The sequence below is a fragment of the Homo sapiens genome, chromosome 15 (assembly GCF_000001405.40).
Source record: "Homo sapiens chromosome 15, GRCh38.p14 Primary Assembly".
Classification (NCBI taxonomy): domain Eukaryota; kingdom Metazoa; phylum Chordata; class Mammalia; order Primates; family Hominidae; genus Homo; species Homo sapiens.
This window is the reverse complement of record NC_000015.10, coordinates 59,104,476-59,125,503: the sequence shown is the minus strand read 5'-3', so window position 1 is coordinate 59,125,503 and position 21,028 is coordinate 59,104,476. Positions and strand designations below refer to the sequence as shown.

At 42.6% G+C, this 21,028-nt stretch overlaps 1 protein-coding gene across 1 annotated transcript, besides 1 other annotated feature; it reads right to left on the bottom strand.

Moving 5' to 3' along the window:
• Positions 1-458: 458 nt before the first annotated feature.
• On the bottom strand, positions 459-20,358 carry CCNB2 (cyclin B2). The gene is made up of 9 exons (NM_004701.4): positions 20,212-20,358; positions 18,054-18,182; positions 17,834-17,947; positions 10,890-11,060; positions 10,628-10,786; positions 8,578-8,814; positions 8,136-8,276; positions 1,877-1,987; positions 459-737 (listed from the first exon to the last, which is right to left on the bottom strand). The coding sequence occupies exons 1-9, from the start codon at positions 20,233-20,235 to the stop codon at positions 627-629; spliced, it is 1,197 nt and encodes a 398-aa protein (NP_004692.1). The 5' UTR covers positions 20,236-20,358; the 3' UTR covers positions 459-626.
• Positions 20,546-20,835: an enhancer, noted in NCBI's record as "active region_9485". NCBI's record gives its function as "activates an Ori minimal core promoter by ATAC-STARR-seq in GM12878 lymphoblastoid cells {active_cell/tissue: GM12878}" and the evidence as "EXISTENCE:reporter gene assay evidence [ECO:0000049][PMID:35858748]".

Here is a 21,028-nt window from a genome sequence, read left to right as displayed (position 1 = left end):
TACCCCATAATGTACCTGAAAAAATGCATGCCAAGCTTCACCTTGAACAGGATGCCACGGGCCCATTTTCTCCAGCTGTGACCCATGGGATGGCTCTCTCTGGTCTCAACAATGCATTTGAGAGAGGGACCCATTACAAGGGTTGCTCTGGGCCAGGCGTTCCTATGCAGGAATTAGAGAGCAGCTGACTAGCTTCTAGAAAGGAAAGTGTCATGGTTATCCTCCCATTTAAAATTTTCATAATAAACTTATTTGTATTCAAGAAGCTTAGGAATAGGTTTAGTGTTCACTGAGGCCAAGTTCTAGTTTTTTCCATTTGAGAAAATGGTAAAAAGGTCTTGCCCAAGCCATAATGGCAGTAATTTACATGCTATTCATAACAGCTCAAAAAGAAATTAGTCAAAGCAAGCTTTCACTGATTTCTTAAGTACAGAATACACAAATAAATACACATGGGATACCTTAAGAAAAACCAATCGCTTTATTTTTCCTCAATATATGTTTAGAAAACTGGTCTGAGAAGAGGTTTCATGAGATAGACCAGAGGACTATGTACAAAATCAAGAGTTCTAAACCAATAAGAAAAAGGGCACAATGAAGCACACATCCCCAGGGGCCACGGCAGCCTAGGACCTTCCTATCAGTGGGGAGGCAAGGTCTTTGACGGCTTTTGAGTTCAGCTGAGGGATCATGCTGATCTTCAGGAGTTTGCTGCTTGCATACTTATTCTTGATGGCCTGCAGAAGTCATTTGTGATTAAGCACATGTCAGGAACCCCCAATGATACCTTATTCCTAGTCTAACTCACAATTATCAAAGGTCCACGGCTACAATCATGATCACATTGATGATGCCCAATCGCTGAAGCCAGTGAAAGCTCTGGGCTCATAACATGTGCCTGACCATTTCCTTCCATCCCCATTAATGAATAAAACACAGCTGGTAGCACAGGTGATAGGAACAAATGATTTCAAGGTCCAAGTAGCAGGCTTCCTCTTGTAGGCTACCAGAGGGATGGGAGGGGGAGCTGTGTTTACGACACCTAAGTGCCATCAGGACATAACAGGTTCACCAGGCCTGGCAGCAATAGGAACAATTAAAAGACAATAAAAGACAATAAAAGAGGGTGGCAACTAGTGCTTAACAAATCCCAGACAGTCCTCTCAGGACTGAACACATATTACACTTCCATGAAGCAAATCATGTTGTGAGGACACTTGAGACTCTTCTGAGGTTCAAATACCTTGCTCTTTGCCACCACACACTTGGTGAGCTCTGATGTTTGGTGTCACACAAGCACAGGACAGCACTAAGTCTCCTTTGGCTCCTCCTCATAGGTGGGCCATGCAGAGATAGACACCATGCCCTCAGGATGCCCCCTGAATGGGCCTCTTCCCTCTTAACCATGCTTGCTAATTAGGCGTTTTTCCATCATTGCCTCAAAAGACCCTGGACAAAGGCTCTGAGTAACATCACCTGAATACGCAATATAATACACCGCCATTTGAAGTGGGCCCTCTCTCTTCCCAATCACATGCAGACCAGCCTTCCCTGCTTGCAAAGTGCCCTCCCCAGGATGCTAGTATAAGCACAGAGTAATTCAATACATTGAGTAACCGACTGGTTGACTGGGATCTGGGCCTGGACATGGCTAGCCTATCGACCTTGTTTCAAATAAAGCTTGCTTTCAGGGTTTATCAGTATGCTCCATACCATACTGTACCAGAAAAATATAAAGGATAAAGGATTTGTGCTAAAACTCCCACATGTTATTAATATATTTACATGACGGCACACACCGCCCCCCCCCGCCCAACATACACACAAAACCCAGAACCTAAAGCTTTCCACAGCTTAAGAAAACAGTAGTACTTACGATGAATTTAGTTAAGTTTTCATTTACTTTCACCACATTCTTGGCCATGTGCTGCATGACTTCCAATACTTCATTCTCTGTGTATCCTGTGTAATACTGCTGCTTTAAGTTCTGAAACACAAGAAGCAGACAGACAGACATGACTGAGGGGCAAGAGAAAACCTCTGCTTCTTTAGAAGAACACATCTTGTACATGATGACATTACTTATGTAAAAGCTGTACAAGAATATTCTTACCTTCTGGAAATTCAATCAAAGCCCTAACCACTCTCACAGTACCAGCAACACTAAAGCAGCTGGTAAATGCAAGATGATTCTGGCCCTGAGACCAGACTAAATCAAGTGCCAAAGGTCCCATACGATCTTTCAAAGACGTTGCACAGGTAAGAGTCCTTCAAGTAACAACACTGAAAGGGGATGGAAAAGGAGACACTTAAAACAAAGTGCCCCTTTACAGTGCTGGCCACATCTCACACAACCCTGCATCAAAGCCCTGCCCAGCTGTCCCTGTTATGAGCTCAAGAGCCCAAACAGACATACTGTCAGTCAGGGAAAGATGTTCGGAAATAAGAAATAAACTGTGCTACAAGCAACAATCTATCAAATCCAGAAGAACTAGGACTACCTATGATTCTCTTGTTGAACCCTGTGTAGTTAAGCACCAAACAGCAGAGAGAACTTAGACACTACCACACCAAGCCTTGTGACCTAGCCTCCCAAAGAGTAAAATTCAAGTAAAAGAACAGCTGTCAATTGATAATAAGATGTATCATGTAAGAAGATATATAAATTGGCGGGGCACAGTGGCTCACGCCTATAATCCCAGCACTTTCGGAGGCCAAGGCAAGAAGATCGCTTGAGCTTAAGAGTTTCAGACCAGCTTGGGTAACATTGGGAGACCCTATCTCTATGAAAAATGAAAAATTAGCCAAGCTTGGTGGTGTACACCTATAGTCCCAGTTACTTGAGGAGCTGAGGAGGAAGGATTGCTTGAGCCCAGAAGTTTGAGGTAATGAGCGATATTAACGCCATTGCACTCCAGCCTGGGCAACACAGTGAGACCCTGTCTCAAAAAAAAAAGAAAAAAAAAGAAAAAAAAAAAAGGCCAGGCGCAGTGGCTCACGCCTGTAATCCCAACACTTTGGGAGGCCGAGGTGGGCGGATCACCTGAGGTCAGGAGTTCGAGACCAGCCTGACCAACATGGTGAAACCCCATCTCTACTAAAAATACATAAATTCCCCGGGCATGGTGGTGTGCGCCTGAGGCAGGAGAATCGCTGGAACCCGGGAGGCAGAGGCTGCAGTGAGCTGAGATCGCACCACTGCACTCCAGTCTGGGTGACAGAGAAAGACTCTGTCTCAAAAAAAAAAAAAAAAAAAAAAAAAGATATGTCAACTGACTTTATTTAAGAGTTCTGTGACAAAAATTCTAAAAGCGAAAGTACGTTTTTTTCATATGCATGGTATAATTGGCAAAATAAACCACAATTTAATCTCTTTTTTTCTTTGAAGACCGGGTCTCAACTCTGTTGCCCAGGCTGGAGTGCAGTGGCACTATCAAAGCTCACTGCAGCCGTGACATCCTGGGCTCAAGTGATCCTCCCACCTCAACCTCCCTAGTAGCTGAAACTATAGGTGTATGCCACCATGCCTGGGTAATTTCTCCTTTTTTTTTTTTTTTTTTTTTTTTTTTTTTGAGACAGAGTCTCATTCTGTCGCCCAGGCTGGAGTGCAGTGGTGCAATGTCTGCTCACTGCAACGTCTACCTTCCGGGTTTAGGCAATTCTCGTGTCTCAGCCTCCTGGGTAGCTGAGACTACAGGCATGTGCCACCACGCCCAGCTAATTTTTGTATTTTTAATAGAGACAGAGTTTTACCATGTTGGCTAGGCTGGTCTCAAACTCCTGGCCTCAAGTGATCCACCCGCCTCAGCCTCCCAAAGTGCTGGGACTACAGGCATGAGCCACTGCGCCCAGCCAGTTTCTCTGTTTTTTTGTGGAGGCGAGGTTTCGCCATGTTGCCCAGCTGGTCTCAAACTGCTGGGCTCAAGCAATCTGTCTGCCTCAGCCTCCAAAACTGCTGAAACTACAGGTGTGAGCCACTGTGCCCAGTCTACACAATTTAATCCTAAAATACTTTGAAGGGAAGAAAGAGGAAACGAGTAAAAACTGAAATAATGCACAATTTCTAGCCTTTTGAAATAAATTCTCAGAAAACTGGGAGAGCGAAGCACATTTAAGAGTAAGGTGACTAAAAATGAGCCATTGGTACCATGTACCAGTGACATTTTTGCCTCAAATGTTTTATTTATTTCAAAAAATTCCAAATCTACAGAAAAACTGAAAGAATGATCCTCTATATATCCTTCATGTAGACTGATCAATCATGAACATGTGCCACGTTTCCCTCCTCTCCCTCTCTGTGTATACTCACACACAATTTTTGCTATGCCATTTGAAAGCGATTTGCAGATATCACAGCACATCCCTGCTAAATGTTTCAGAAGCATATTCTAAAAAGTACGTTTTCGTACCTATCCATAACACCATTCTCACATAAGAAACACTGTCACCAGTGACTTTTTTTTTTTAAGCATCGAGGCAGTTCCTTTTAAAATGTCTCACATTCTGGATTTGCATATTTCCTCAAGATTTAATTCATGTCAAACATTTTGGGCATGAATAGGTGATAATGTATACATCTTACTGCACAACACGGCATGGCAACTCAGGTCGTCTGCCAGTGGTAATGCTGAGCTTAATCACTGGGTGAAGGTGGAAACCACCAGACCACTTCATCATAGATGTGCAGTTTTGTTACAGAATTAATAAGTATCTATGGGATGATAAATTGAGACCACGTGAATCTTGTTTCCCAAAATTATTCCATCTAATGATTTTTGCATTCATTGATGCACCTTGCTTGAATAAATTATTACATTACAGGTTGAAAATTAGTGGTTTCTAACTCTATCATTCTACTTTAATTAGCTGGTATTCTGATTTTTAAAAATGAACCCCTCTTTTATTTTTTATGTCATTATGGTCCCAGGAATCCTTTTTTTTATACACTATAATCTATTACTGTCATTATTCTTTTTAATGCTCTAATTCAGTCAGCCAGAGTCCTTTCAAGCCAGTTCCTATCTCCCTCCTTCCCTTCCTTCCTATTTTATTGTGGTGCAATCATAGGTCAATGCAGCCTCCAACTCCTGGGCTCAAGGGATCCTGCCTCAGCCTCCTGAGTATCTGGGACTATAGGCACATGCTACCATGACCAGCTCTCCTATGTCCTTTTGATGTGACCTCATTGATCTTTGAGAATTTGTGTGCTATCTGGCACAAATTGTTCTAGGCTCACCTTGTACTTCCCCTGCCATAGCCCTGAAATCAGCAATTTCACTAAACAGCCCTAGTTGCCAGTAGATAATGGTATTTAGTATCCAAGATGTGGGCACTAAATATGCTCACTACTACTGAGTTGTCACTGTTTCTGAGACCCTTTATTATGAATTTGCTGTTATTTCCAAAACATAATAGGGGTTTTCCTTTGTTTTTGTTTTGCTATTTCCTACGTGAGGACTAACCTTTTGTTTTTAATTGTTAATATTTTCTCTCTTAGGCCAGGCACAGTGGCTCACGTCTGTAATCCCAGCACTTTGGGAGGCCAAGGCGAGAAGATCACTTGAGCCTAGGAGTTCGAGACCAGCCTGGGCAACACAGGGAGAGCTAATCTCTACAAAAAAACTTTAAAATTAGCCAGGCATGATGGCGTGTGGCTGGGTCCCAGTTACGTGGGAGGCTGAAGTGGGAGGATCACTTGAGCCCAGGCAATTGAGGCTGCAGTGAGCTGTGACAGCAGCACTGCACTCCAGCCTGGATGACAAAGCAAGACCCTGTATAAGAAAAAATTAATGAATTAATAATTTAAAACTCTTCCTATATTGAAAATTTTAGTCCTTAATAACATGAATAAATTTGTTTTATCCTACAATACACATAAACTAGTTCCAAAATTATAATAACAGATTACTATTAACAATGAACCTACTAAGTAAACTTGATGTTACCACTTTAGTCCTTTATTTTGTCATACTTTAAATCCCACTAAGGATGCACAGTCAGAATGCTGTGTTCAGGTTACAGATTTGTTTTTTTTTTTTTTTTTGGAGACAGGGTTTTGCTCTGTTGCCCAGGTTGGAGTGCACTGGCAGGATCATAGCTACTTCAGCCTTGAACTCCTGGGCTCAAGCAATCCTCCTGCCTCAGCCTCCTGAGTAACTAGGACTACAGGTGTGTGCCACCATACCCAGCTAATTTTTTAATTTTTTATAGAGATGGGGGTCTTGCTACGCTACCCAGGCTGGGCTCAAGCAACAAGTACTTAAATTAATTCTTTCCTCTGTGTTCTGTTACCAATTTCACATGTAGTTACATTGTTTATTTCCACTTAATTACAATTTAAAGTTTGCATAAAATATTTACATTGTTCAAAAGTCAAAAAAGTTACACTGTATTATAAAGTCAATAAAAGGTTACAATCAGAAGTCCTCTCATCCTCAACCTCCACCCTATTCCCAAAGAACCCCATAGTTTCCACTTTCATTCTTTCTGGTTTATTCCTCCCGTACCAAAAAATTAACAAATATATAAATATATATACATACACACACTTTCTTGCATAAAATGTAAACTACAATATACATTGTTTAGGTGAACAGCTCCACCATGCTGCCCTGGTGACCTTGCCTATATCCATATAGGCCACACAGGCCAAGGCCTGAACCACAGCTGATCTGTCCTGGCAAAATGCTTTGTGATCCTCCTGAAAAAGGAGGAGATGGCAGGTGTGGGCAGAGCTGCCGCCCAGCCATCTCCCACTCACCTCCCTATCTCCCCTGGGAGGCTGTCACGAGACAACTTCTTCTTTTTTATATTTTTTTTGGAGACAGAGTCTCGCCCTGTCCGCCAGGCTGGAGTGCAGTAGCACGATCTTGGCTCAAAGCAACTTTTGTCTTCCGGGTTCAAGTGATTCTTATGCCTAGGCCTCCAGAGTAGCCTGGATTACAGGCAGCTGCCACCATGCCTGGCTAATTTTTGTATTTTTAGTAGAGACGGGGGTTTTGCCATGTTGGCCAGGCTGGTCTCAAACTCCTGACCTCAGGTGATCTGTCCACCTTGGCTTCCCAAAGTGCTGGGATTACTGGCATGGCACCCGGCCAAGACAGCTTCGTATCCCCTAGGTTCTGATGAGGTTTTCTATTGTACTGCTCTCAGGGTATAACTGCAGACTAGAAGACTGTTTAGCGGTGGTCTAGAACTGGCTTCTCCACAACAGTGTACCTGTGACTTGCATTGCAGCCATCCAGCTCCATTTGTTTCCACATTATCCTTTTTGCCATGTGAAACAAAGACCCGAGGAGCTGCCATCCTTGGCTACTCTTCTAAATCTACAAGTGGCTCATTCTATTCTTACTGGCTAAATCAGTCAGGCCTTGGCCTTCCTTTGTCTTGTGTGCTTGACAACTTGCTTGTTTCACTTAACGTAATATCTAAGAAATCATACATGTCAGTTCTTAGTGGCCTTCCTCATTCTGTACAACTCTATACTGCACACATGCACCTTAGTATGTATAGTCAACTCACTTCTATGTGAACTGTTCCAAGCAGCTTGCTTGCTTTCTTTCCCAAGAGACAAGGGTCTCTCTGTGTTCCCCAGGATAGACTTGAACTCCTGGGCCTGGGCTCAAATGATCCTCCTCCCTCAGCCTCCCAAGTAGCTAGAACTACAAGCACAAGCCCCCATGCCCCTCTCCAAGTAGTTTTCCTTTAGGACTTTGGACTTTAAACAATTGCTTCAGGCCAGGCACTGTGGCTCACACCTGAAATCCTAGCACTTTGGGAGGCCAAGGTGGGCAGACTGCTTGAGCCGAGTTCAAGGCTAGCCTAGACAACATGGCAAAACCCTGTCTCTACAAAAAAATTTACAAAAATTAGCGAGGCATGGTCATGCATGCCTGTAGTCCCTGCTACTCGGGAGGCTGAGGTAGGAGGATTACTTGAGCCTGGGAAGTCAAGGCTGCAGTGGGCTGTGATGGCACCACCACACTCCAGCCTACGTGACAGAATGAGACCCTGTCTCAAAAACACAAAACAAAACCAACTGCTTCAAGGATAGTGTTGTAAAAATGCTAAGGCCTTTTGTATTACGAAGGACTAAAATATAGCCTAATTAGTTTCTTCTTAAATCCACCACTCACCCATTTTCCTTGTCCTAGAACCTTCTGAGACAAGCAGGAAGCAGCTGCTGCTACCTTAGAAGGATGATAATGCACCATATCATAGTCGATGAGAGTCAGCTCCATCAAATACTTGGCTAAAGTGTGCTGTTCAACATCAACCTAAGAAAGAACAGCAAGGGATAGTAAGAATCACAAGTGTAATTACTGTCTTGCAAAATTCTGCGTGAAGGCCTAGGAACTCCAATTCACTTGACTCACTTATCCTTCTCAAGAATTACTCTATTCCACACTATGTTGTAAACATAGATCATGAGGCCTTTTCTCTTAAGAACTGATGAGGAAAGCATTAAGACTTACCTAAAGGAAGCGTCCTATAAATAAGCTTTCCTTAAATTAGGTCAAGGTTTCTGGGATGAGACACCAAGCAAAAATAGTCTCTTACAGAGCTGGAGGCACTTACCTCCCCGGCTTTTGATGCTCGCCTTAAGAAGTGTAGTGGCAAGGGTCGACCCAACTCAAATTTCAATTCTTTCAAAATTAGAGTTTCCATTTCTCGGATTTGGGAACTGGTATAAGCATTGTCTGTGATGTAAACAAAGTCTTCAATATTTGGAGAAAACATCTCCTCATACTTGGAAGCCAAGAGCAGAGCAGTAATCCCAACTAATTGAAGCTTCTTCCGGGAAACTGGCTGAACCTAATGGAAAATTAATGTAACAAAAGTCACACCTAACAAGAAGAGTGAAGCTTTAGGTGGGAGAAGGGGAAAGGAAACCAAGTCCTGGAAAAGTGCACATTGTCTTTGCTCATAAGGGCACAGGAGACCTGACTGTTCTACCACTGATCATGACAGCTATCTGTAATTGAGCACTGTGTGCTAGGCACAGTGCTAAGATTCTAACATATTATCTCACCCAATCCTCATAAAAATTCTAGGAAAGGCATATTTTATTCCTCAATTACAAATAGATGTCCTGAGAACAGATTCAGACACCATGCCAAGATCATTCAATTGCCAAGAAGGGAAGAATCCAAGCCTGAATACCAAGCTCCTAGTCACCCTTCCCACAACCTCATGCTGACTTGAGTATCTGTGGCAGCCCTGGCCTGACACACTAAACATGGTCTGAATAGAAATGAGGCCAAAGAAAAAAGTGAGAATTTAATGGATGGCTCATTTCCTTAATCCTTACCAAAAGCATACCCATTATTCAGCTTAGAAAATCTTTCGCTAATGCTTTGGAGTCAGGCAGACTCTCAGGCTAGGGTAAAGCGTTTCCCTTAATTGCTTTTTTTTTTTCCTCCCAAACTCTGTACTTTTCTTGCTTCAACTCTCATTATTAAAAATCTACCACGGATGGGCACAGTGGCTCATGCCTATAATCCCAACACTTTGGGAGGCCGAGGTGGGCAGATCACTTGAGCTAAGGAGTTCGAGACCAGCCTGAGCAACATGGCAAAACCCCATCTCTATAAAAAAATCAAAAACTTAGCTGGGCGTGGTAGCATATGCCTATAGTCCCAGCTACTTGGGAAGCTGAGGTAGAAGGATTGATTGAACCCAGGAAATTGAGGCTACAGTGAGCCCAGATTGTGTCACTGCACTCCAGCGTGGGCAACAACAGAATAAAACCCTGTCTCAAAAAAATAAAAAATAAAGAAACCTACCTAAAATACTGTTGTGCTTTCCTGCCCAAAGAGGAATGCATGCTACCTGGGATTTTGTAGTATCTCAGGGTCATTATTGTAAAGTAATTTTTATTACATTGTTTGGACAGAATTTGTGCCTGACCTAAACCCCTATCCTGAATGTTGACTTTAAATAAATAAAACCTTATCTGCAGGGCTATTGTTTGGTAGATAACACACTGGCAATTTATATCTGCTGTCTCTTCTAACAGGTCAGGGGCTGTGCATTACCCACTCATAAATATGCTGAAGATTATGTTTGCCTCTTATTTTCTTATATTACTCTTTATTACACTACATTCTCAGTCCACTCCACACACAACCCCTGCTCCTTTAAAAAAAACAAATACTGCCACCTTCTTCTTCTACAGTGATTCAATGACATAGTTGGCTGGAAATGTGGAGGTTCTCCAGCCAAACTCATCGTTTTTCAGATGAGGAAACTTAACACCAGAGCACCAAACTATGGAAATTGTGCAAGCAGGCCCAGAAAACCAGCATCCAAAGGCACTACAGGCTTCAGATGGACTTTCAGCCCAACTGATGGTATATTTCCTCTGATGAAGGATTGTGGCAATGCAATATTTCCCCCAAGTACTTTTTAGCTGGCTGGCCTTACAGAAATGCCCATTATTGGTCCGCATCATCAAAGGCTTGACACACTTGGATTACTTCCCTTTTTAGTCCCCAAAGTTCTTTGGCTTCTCACAATTTGATTTTTGGTCTTTTTTTCAGAAGTACCCACTTTAGTTTTCTATCCCCCAAGCATAAATGCAATGTTCAATGAGCCACTGGCGTGAAGTCCCTGAAGCCACACCTACCTGTAAAAATCGATCCATAATGCCAACGCACATGTACAGAGTCTCCTGCAGAAGCCTAAACTTGGAGTGGACTTGTACCAGCCAATCCACTAGGATGGCACGCATGCGTCCATTTATATCTCTTCCATCTAAGAAATGTGGGTTTATGGACTGCAAAACCTGTGGGTAGAATCAAAAGTTTAAAAAGCTGACCTTGTTTGCTTCCCAGCTGTGTGGTAAATTCCACATTGCTTATACAACCAAAACACAAAGGCCCACCTACCTCCAGCTGCCTGAGATACTGATAGATATCCTTAACGTAGTCACTGCAGAGCTGAGGGTTCTCCCAATCTTCGTTATCAATGTCCTCGATTTTGCAGAGCAAGGCATCAGAAAAAGCTTGGCAGAGATTCTCTTCCTTCATGGAGACATCCTCAGGTGTGGGAGAAGGACCCTACACCAACAAATTTAGGCACATGTAGGAGCAGCCTTAACCATAAATACATGCAGAGCCAACTGGCTTAAATATCAATATCATACGCACATCTGAAATATGTTAAAGACACAACAAATTTCATACCAAGAGGTGAATAATTCAAGATATAGTATGTGAAGTTCTTCAAGAGACACTTCTCTGTTTAAAACTCTCTAATTTCACTCAAACTGAAAACTTAAGTCCTCCCAATGGCCTACAGACCTTATATAATCTGGCCCTCCCCAGTTCCCTCGCTGACCCATCTCCTGCTTCTCTCCCTTGACTGCTTCACTCAAGCCAGGTTCTTCTTACCCAGAATGCTCTTGCCCCTATGTCCATATGGGTAATTCCCTTACTTCAAGTTTTACTTAAATGTTACATTCTCAATGGGGTCTATCCTAACTCCTATTTAAAATTATCAGGCCATGCACGGTGGCTCACGCCTGTAATTCTAGCACTTTGGGAGGCCAAGGCAGGTGGATGGCTTGAGCCCCGGAGTTCAAGACCAGCCTGGCCAATATGGCAAAACCCCATCTCTACTTTAAAAATACAAAAACTAGCTGGGCGTGATGGTGCGCCCCTGTAGTCCCAGCTACTCAGGAGGCTGAGGCAGAGGTTGCAATGAGCCAAGATCACGCCACTGCACTCCAGCCTGGGCTGGACGGAACAAGACTCCGCCTCAAAACCAACCAAATAAACAAAAAACAAAATTATCACCTGCCTCCAATCCCTGTCCTCCTACCCTACCCATATGTCTCATCTCATAAAACCTATACTTCTAAAATTCTATAGTTAATATGTGTATTATTCTGTTTTTTCTCATAAAGCCTATACTTCTAAATTCTATAGTTTATATGTGTATTATTCTGTTTTTTCTCATAATACCTATACTTCTAAAATTCTATAGTTTATATAGTATGTGTATTATTTTCTGTCTACCTCTGCCAGAATGTAAGCTCTAAAAGCTTACGTTTATTTAATTGGTTTTGCCCACTAAGGCACCTCAAACATCTATATAATCCCTGATACGTAGTAGGTGCTCAATAAATGGAAGAAACTTGACCACCTGGGTTCAAAGATTACTGGAGCTGATCATTCTACTTTAGTAGCAGCCTCTTCTGCAGTATAATGTTTTCTTCTCTTTAACTAATTTATTCTAAATTGAAAAACTGGCAACTAAAAAGGAGAAAAGCATATTGCAGTCTATAAATAAAATAGGAGAAGGGAGCGAAGACTGAGCAAGTTCACAACTCAGTATTTCACTTTCCTATGCTGACTGGGTAATTATTTATAAAAATTATGCAAATTAAAAATTTATAAAGCAGTTAAAACAAGTATTTATTAATGAAAGATAAAAAAATCTTTGCTTTTTTAAATGTTTTTTTTTTTGAGATGGAGTCTCGCTCTGTCGCCCAGGCTGGAGTGCAGTGGCACGACCTTGGCTCACTGCAAGCTCCGCCTCCCGGGTTCACGCCATTCTCCTGCCTCAGCTTCTGGAGTAGCTGGGACTACAGGCGCCTTCCACCACACTCGCCTAATTTTTTGTATTTTTAGTAGAGACGGGGTTTCACCGTGTTAGCCAGGATGGTCTCGATCTCCTGACCTTGTGATCCGCCCACCTCGGCCTCCCAAAGTGTTGGGATTACAGGCTTGAGCCACTGCACCCAGCCAAATCAATGCTTTCAAAAAAAAAGTACTTCTCCAAGTAAAACCTAACAAGATGCTAAGCTATACAAATATATATTAAGGTAATAAAATATTTTTTAAAAAGAGGAGGCGGCCAGGCCTGGTGGCTCACGCCTATAATCCCAGCACTTTGGGAGGCCAAGGTGGGTGGATCACGAGGTCAGAAGTTTGAAATCAGCCTAACCAACATGGTGAAACCCCATCTCTACTAAAAATACAAAAATTAGCTGGGCCTGTGGTGTCACACACCTGTAATCCCAGCTACTCAGGAGGCTGAGGCAGGAGAATCGTTTGAACCTGGGAGGCAGAGGTTGCAGTGAGCGGAGATCACACCACTGCACTCCAGCCTGGGTGACAGAGCGAGACTCTGTCTCAAAAAAAAAAAGACAATTTTAATTTACAGTAAAGCTCAATGATTATAATTTCCAGTCTTCGAGGATGCATCAATAACAACAATAACAAAACAAAAAAACAGTTTAAAACATGTCCTCCCCTCTTAAATCAAAGGTCTTAAACTGAGGAAGAACCAGGTGAGCAAGAACTATGCAGGCATGCATGCCATTTATACAAGAATTTGAGAACCCAGGCCAAGTGCGGTGGCTCACACCTGTAATCCCAGCATTTTGGAAGGCTGAGGCAGGTGGATTGCTTCAGCTCAGGAGTTTGAGGCCAGCTTGGGAAACATGGCAAAACCTCGCCTCTACAAAAAATACAAAAATTAGCCAGGCATGGTGGCGCACACTTGTTGTCCCAACTACTTGGAGGCTGAAATGGGAGAATCACCTGAGCCCAGGAGATCAAAACTGCAGTGACCCATGATTATGCCACTGTACTCCAGCCTAGAGACAGAGTGAGACTCTGTCAAAAAAAAAAAAAAAAAGAAAGAAAGAAAGAAAAGAATAGAATAGAATTTGGGAACCTGGAAACCTCAAGGAGCTAGAACAAATGAGTAGAGGTACCCAGGGTACCAGAGACGGTAAGACCTTAAGGAAGATGAACAGGCAAAAGCAAACCAAAGAAAATCAAGGCAATTCTGGGAACTGCAAATTGATTTGAGATGTCAGCAGGATAGCCTGTGAGGTATGAGAAGATGAGCTGAAAAGCTGAACAACAGCCGAGCTTCTAGAAGCTTAGATTTTATCCAAACGTTAAGGTGAAAAACTGAAGGAGTTTATCAAGTGACTAGAATCAGATTTGCATTGTAATAAGCATATGCAGCTTCAGCTGAAGGTTAACTTTTTCAAGGATAAGCATTATCACCCACCCCTGGAAGGGCAGTCAATAACAAAAAGTCTGGTTTAAGGAGATAGAGGTTATCATGTGCTATCATACCACTTTAGAATATTTTTCTGGCTCCTATTCAGAAGTGCAACTGAGTTTAGCCATATCCAAAAGCCACCAAGGGCTTGGCGTGGTGGCTCACATCTGTGATCCGGGCACTTTGGAAGCCCAAGGTGGGAGGATTGCTTGTGCCCAGGAGTTTGAGTCCAACCTGGGCAACATAGTGAGATCTTCTCCATCAATCAAGCAGTCAACAACAAAAGCCACTAGGATAAGACAAAGATTCTTGCCCTGGCCCTTAATTTAGAATTCCTTGAAAGCATTCATTTTGAACTCCAACATAATTTAATTATTGTAAGACCCTTTCTAAGATCCTACTCATCTGGTCAGGTAATCTGTTCTAGCTATGACTCCTCAGTACCTCTCATAAGCATGCATCTCTCTTTGTGACAGATAAAGCCATACTTCTACTCCTATGTCCTCCAACTTGACTGGGAGCTCCTCTAGACAGAATCGATGGTTTATTCAACTTGTTTCCCCAGTGTCCAGCAAACATGGGACTAGTAGAAAGCCTTCCATGTCCTTTCTAACTACTGTGTTTACCAAAGCCTCATTAATCAGCAAAAAACACCATTTTCTCCAAAACCTGCAGGATAATAAGCTTCTATGACTACCTGTAAAGGGCTGGAACTCTTCCGAGGTCTCAGCCAGGGCACTTTGTGATTCAGTTGTGTCAACTGCTACAGAGAAAGAAACCTGCCCTCCAGTTTTGCAAAAAGGATAGTATAAATTTGGTTAGAAGACTGGGAACATCTCCTATCATGGACACATGGCTTATGTTATCACCTTTCCAGGAAAATTGATAGAAACCTGTGCACTCAAGTGGCATTTCCACACCTCCAGGGATTGGCTCTAAAGAACAGTGATAACCCTGCAGATAAAGCAGATGACAAAGTAAAAGCCAGAAGGCTGACCAGAGACAGGCAGGCAGAGAGACTCACCTGCTAGAAGGTGGGACTCTACCTAAATCGTGGACTTAGAGATTCCTTCACTACTTTCTCAGAGGGAAATGTATTTGAATTGGAAATAATTCCTGTTCATTAATTCCTCATAACTTCTAAATCTAGAACATGTAGCTATATGTTTCAACCCTGGAATTGATTTTTATATGAACTGAGCTACGGGTCCATAATGCTTTATCTCAAACAGTGGCCTCAATTTTGCCAGGAAGCAAGAGAAAAAGGAGTCAGCCAAGGAGTAAAGGAAACACAAAAAGGATGAAGTTATGGAGGTCACAGGAGGAAACTATTTTTCCCTTTGTTTCTTTAGTAACATATTTATGGTCTTTGCTTTTAAAAAAAGAAAAAAAAAAGCCTTCTTTTCTTCTTCTCTAACTTGAACAGTAATATGTACCCATGGTAAAAGTTTGAAGTTTTTTGTTTTTGTTCTTGTTTTGTTGTTGTTGTTTTTTGAGACAGAGTCTCGCTGTCGCCCAGGCTGGAGTGCAGTGGCACAATCTCGGCTCACTGCAGGCTCCGGCCCCCAGGGTTCACGCCATTCTCCTGCCTCAGCCTCCCAAGTAGCTGGGACTACAGGCGCCCACCACCTCGCCCGGCTAATTTTTTGTATTTTTAGTAGAGACGGGGTTTTACTGTGTTAGCCAGGATGGTCTCGATCTCCTGACCTCGCGATCCGCCCGCCTCGGCCTCCCAAAGTGCTGGGATTACAGGCGTGAGCCACTGCACCCGGCCAAAGTTTGACGTTTTAAGGAAGAAAATGAAAGTCAATCTTAAGTCCAACATAATATTCAAAAATAACTACCATCAATATTCTGCATACAAATGTACATTTTAAAAGCAAATCTGGGGTTGCACTGTTTATATATTGTTATAATCTGATTTTTCCACTTAATGTTACAAGCATTTTGATGCCTTTAAATATTCTACTAAAACATGATATTTATGGCTGCATAGTATTTCCTTAAATGGATTTAACTAGGGTATTTCTCTACTCTATAAGAGACACTCATCATAGCACTATCTAAAAGTACTTGATTATCCCTCTGATCATTTTCTTTGGATAAAAAACAAAGCTACTGGGTATGGAGAATAACCATTTGAAATATACTACCGCCAGGCGCAGTGGCTCACACCTGTAATCCCAGCACTTTGAGGGGCGGGGGCAGGTGGATCACCTGAGGTCAAGAGTTGGAGACCAGCCAGGCCAACATAGTGAAAATCAGCTGGGCATGGTAGCATGCACCTGTAATCCCAGCTACTCGGGAGGCTGAGACAGGAGAATCGCTTGAACCCGGGAGGCGGAGGTTGCAGTTAGCAGAGATCGAGCCACTGAACTGCAGCCTGGGCGACAGAGCAAGACTCCGTCCCCCCCCAAAAATATATACATATACTGCCAAATCGCCCTCCTGCGATGTGGGAGGAACCACATTCAAACCATTACACATGTAAAACACTGCACAACTGCTAAGAGATCAAGGTCTGAAAACCAGCCTTTGGGTTTGGCTTTCAGGAGGTCACTGTTATAGAAACCTTCTAGGGAAGGCTTTTTAAATGAAGTCCCATCTCAACTACTTTTTCTAAGCTTTAGTTCTCATAAAGAGCAAAGAGCTTTCAACCATCATCTCTGTGAAGAAAGCTGACAAATCTGTTCCTTGCCTTCAGATGTTGCTGCCACATTTCCAACTGCATTTCCAGGCAGATGTCCCTCGGTTACCTCAACAAATCGGAAGCCAAACAGGATACCTTTACCAAAGCTACCGCCCTCTCCTGACTTTCCTACTTTTTGTTCATTTATTGCATAAATGGTTTATTTAATATCCAAGTGGGTAAGGATACCACTCCTGCAGTGCAAGCCATGTGTCCAAAGTATTCTTTCCTAAATACAAGATGAAAGACATTCTGAGACATCCTAACACATTTGATGTTGTTTCTTCATACCCACTATTGATACTGGTGTATGGGTAGGCGCTTAGGGAAGATCTGGGCTAGCTCCAGACCCTCATCAGCTCTTGCTTGGATAAGTGCAATACCTCCTAACTTACCTCCCTACATTGTTTTCATCATTTCGGTACTCCTCAAAACTTTGTTTCCTCAAGCCTAATGGGATAAAAATCCAAATTCCAAGTCCTTCAAATCCAACTGCAACCTTCTTCCCAGCCTTATCTTCTGGTTCCTCACTCAAGCCGCCTGACTCAGTTAAGTCTTTCAGACTCCTTAACGAAAGGACATGATTATAGGTCCATATCCGCTTTGGTACCTTGATCTTTGTTGCTACTTTGTTCTCCACAAACGTGCCCTTTCCTGTCAGCTATCATCTTCTCTCTACCCCTAAAAATCTCACTCATTCCATGAATTTTCTGAACCATTCTGTCCTTTATTTGGGTATTAAGGTAATCAACTTTATTATTCAGGGTCGTAATATTTATTTTTTTTTTTCAGAGACAAGGTCTTGCTCCGCTGTCCAGGCTAGAGTGCAGTGGCACCATTATAGCACATTGCAGCCTTGAATTCCTGGCCTCAGGCGATCCTCCTGCCTCAGCCTCTCAAAGTGCTGAGATTACAGGCATAAGCCACCATGCCCAGCTTCAAGGTCATAATGTTATTAAGTTAAAAGGTGTATATACTCATTTCCTACACTATTGCTTCAAAGCAGAGCTCCAGCTATGAATGTTCGTTAGAAGGTACAGCAATGATAAAGGCACCCTTGTAGTCTGGCTAAAAACAGGCTACCTCATTAAATACGTTTGTAAATTCAGAACTTCCTACCTTTGGAGCCAACTTTTCCATCTGTACTGGTTTGACAGAAGCAGTAGGTTTCAGTTGTTTGTTGACATTTGTTGTTTTGGTGGGTTGAACTGGAACTTTGGTGTTCTGAGCTTTCTATAAGGAAAAAGAAACATGAATAGCGCAAGACAGCCAGCGTTGTGGGACTCAGCACTATACAGAATCGGCCTCTGTATTCACATTCAGTCTTCATCATTGTTACCTTAGCTACTTGTGCTGCTCTGGTTGTAACTCTATTTCCAATTTCTTCTAAAACAGTTCGCCTAATAGTCACATGACTCTTAACTTTAGAATTAACTCCTGTGTCAATATTCTCCAAATCACTGGACACCTGAAAAAAAAAAAAAAAAGTAATGAAACCTTGAAAGAATTTGAAATACTTTGCTAATGTTAGATACTCAAATTTAGAATTGCTTTGGGAAAGGACAATACGTCAAGATCTATTTGCAAGATGGAAAAGGTACATTTCAGGAAGTCTAAAAATGCTATTTGTGATTAATAACATCACTCTAAATTAGGCAAATCACCCATCTACTTTATCCGTAATAAAGATCCTCCCACTAACCTTGCAAAGCTATTCTGAGTATTCAAGTGGGCCTGTAAGAGAACTTCAAAGCTTATTAGTATTTAATGATTATTTCTCATATAGTACCCATATCACTTGTTAGAGATCCCTGCAAGTTAAAGGCATATATTTAAAAACCTTCCTTTACAGAGCTTGGTAAAAAGTAAATTAAGATGAAAAATAATAAAGCTATAATATTAATAGTTAATAATAGGTCTGGTTGTTTAAAAACCAGATGTTTAAAACCTAAACTAGCTTTGATTCTTATGCCATTTCACAAATAAGAAATGCTCCTGTATGCATGATCTTTTAGAACTACAGCTTTTTAAAATGAGGTTGCCATAGAATGGATTTTCTCTTATATTAAGGACATTTAGAATGGAAGTAGTTTTCTTGAGTAATATAGTTTTAGCTCCCAAACTCAGGGAAGGTTGGAATTGTATGAAATAAAAATTGTCAGTTGACCTTAACCTGCTTTAGACATAATGTGCTTGGAAATAAAACTTGCTAGGAAAAGCAACTCATACCAAAAAAAGTTTATTATAGAAGTGATAAACATTTCATTAAAAAAGAAAAAAGCAAAAAACCAGCATGTCCTATCCCTGAGAGTTCAGGGTCCCGACTCTAATAAAACTCCCAACAAGGGGTTTGAGTGGATCTACCAGGCAGAGAGAGGGGCCAGGGAAACTCAAGCCTTCCCTGAACAGAAAGGTTTTGACTATTAAATAACGTTATAGAATACATTATTATAAAAAATTACTTGTCAGTTGGACTTAGATCCACAAAAGGATATTAATTAAATGCTAAATGTATTCAATCTATTAGGATTCTCAAAAGTCACACTTCAATTTCTTCCAGCAGCAACTGCCAATCTGAAAAAGTGTTTGAAAATGTAATGCTTATGGGTAGAAGCCTGGTAATGTGACTCAATTTAAATTCATCTGGATAGGAAAATTGGCAGCTTTTATCTAACCTTATAGCCAAGATGATGGAACTCAGGTGTGTCAGGGCCCTCTAGCTTTCGGCAAAGGAAAAAAGTAGGTCCCGGTACAATTCAAGCCCACAGGAAAAATACCCAAAACACCATAACACTTTGATCTCTGCAAGGATGAAATAAATGAATTTGGACCCTTTTCTCTCAGTCTGCCACATTGGTCCAAATTATATTCAAAAACCTCTGTTACATTTGAGTAAAGAAATTAATTTTTTAAGGGGACAAACCCATTTATTAGTGAACGTAGCATGGAAGACTTAGCGTGCCGAAATAAATGGGAAACTCATACAAAAAGAAATGTGAACAATCTGAAAAACAGCCTGGCAGTTGCCTGATGAAACACGCCGTACACTTTACTGCCTACAGAACCCTTCCAGTCCTCCTCCCAGCCGCCATCACAGGTCCCTTAGTTGGCAAGGAGTTGTAAGAAAGGGGGAGGGAAATCCCAGGAACGTGGAAGTAGATAACTCTCTAGCAATGAAGAGCACTCGGGGATCGCTCGCTGAGTACTAGGCCTAGTGCTCTGGGGGCTCACTTGACAGGCGCCATCTCGGAAGCGCTTTCCTACACTTCTCCCACCCCGGGGCAGGGAGGGGTTAGGGGAGGGCGGAATCCAGACGGGGAAAGGCGGGCCGGAGAGGACCGGCCGCAGGGCCAGGGACGCGGGCGAAGCAGTGAGCTCCGGAGAAGAGAAAAGCAGCCCCGGTTGGGACGGAGAAGCTCGGAGCAGATGAGAGAAGCGACAGGGGAGCTGTGGGGCCGACGGACTCGCCTCTGAGAGCGGTCCCCGGGCACACTCACCGTCGGGCGTCGGAGCAGCGCCATGAGGGACGGGGAAGGCAAGAGTGCCAGCCCGGCCCAGGGAGGGACGCGGACTGAAAAGGGAGGACACTAGCGTACGAGGCGCCGTTAGGACTGCTCTCCGAGCCCGCAGCGCTGGGGATCTTCGACGCTGTAGCCTTGTTCCAGGATTCAAATACCGCGTCGCTTGCGCCCCATTGGGCGGCCCTGCGCACGGGTCGCTGTTCTCATTGGCCAACACAAGATGCACTCTCGCACTCTCATTGGCTGAATTTTCTTAGACACGTTTGATTGTCACAACAGCCGGTTGGGGTGTTTTTTCTGCCTACAGTCTTTTAAAAAAAAAAAAACCCCAGTCTCTGAGACAAACAAAAAGGAACTGTCTCATTGGGAAAGCAGACGTAGGACGCCTCTGAATTTTGACAAGGCCTCATCTACGAATTTCTCTCGACGTTTGTAGTGGGTGGGCGGAAGTTGGTTGGCCTTTATTCCTCTTCTGGTGTGTTGGGGTTTAAGTTGTGTTGGCCTGGGTGCAGGAACCGGCCCCTCCGGGTTGCTCAGGGATGCAGTGTGTTAGGTGGTTGAGATGCAAAAGTGTGCTTAAAAAAAGAGAGAATAATGGCGTTTACTCAAAAACCCAAATTCTCAAGTAAGGCAAAAAAAAAAAAAAAAAGATAAAAGAGATTTGTGTGACTGGTGATTCATGTAAGTTCTCCATTGTATTCCCAACACCTAGTACATCGTTTGTCGTATATGGTTGGTGCTCAATAAATGTTCGTCTAATAATCAGCCCAAGCAAAGAATTCATGTCTAAGAC

What these genes read in the sequence shown, in the direction of transcription:
- CCNB2 (NM_004701.4), bottom strand. Translation starts at nt 20,235, where the DNA reads ATGGCGCTGCTCCGACGCCCGACG. An exon ending in GAGCATCAAAAGCCGGGGAG is followed by an intron (nt 8,277 to 8,577) that starts GTAAGTGCCTCC and finishes GTTCTTTCTTAG; the next exon opens with GTTGATGTTGAACAGCACAC. An exon ending in TTCTAGGACAAGGAAAATGG is followed by an intron (nt 1,988 to 8,135) that starts GTGAGTGGTGGA and finishes CTTGTGTTTCAG; the next exon opens with AACTTAAAGCAGCAGTATTA.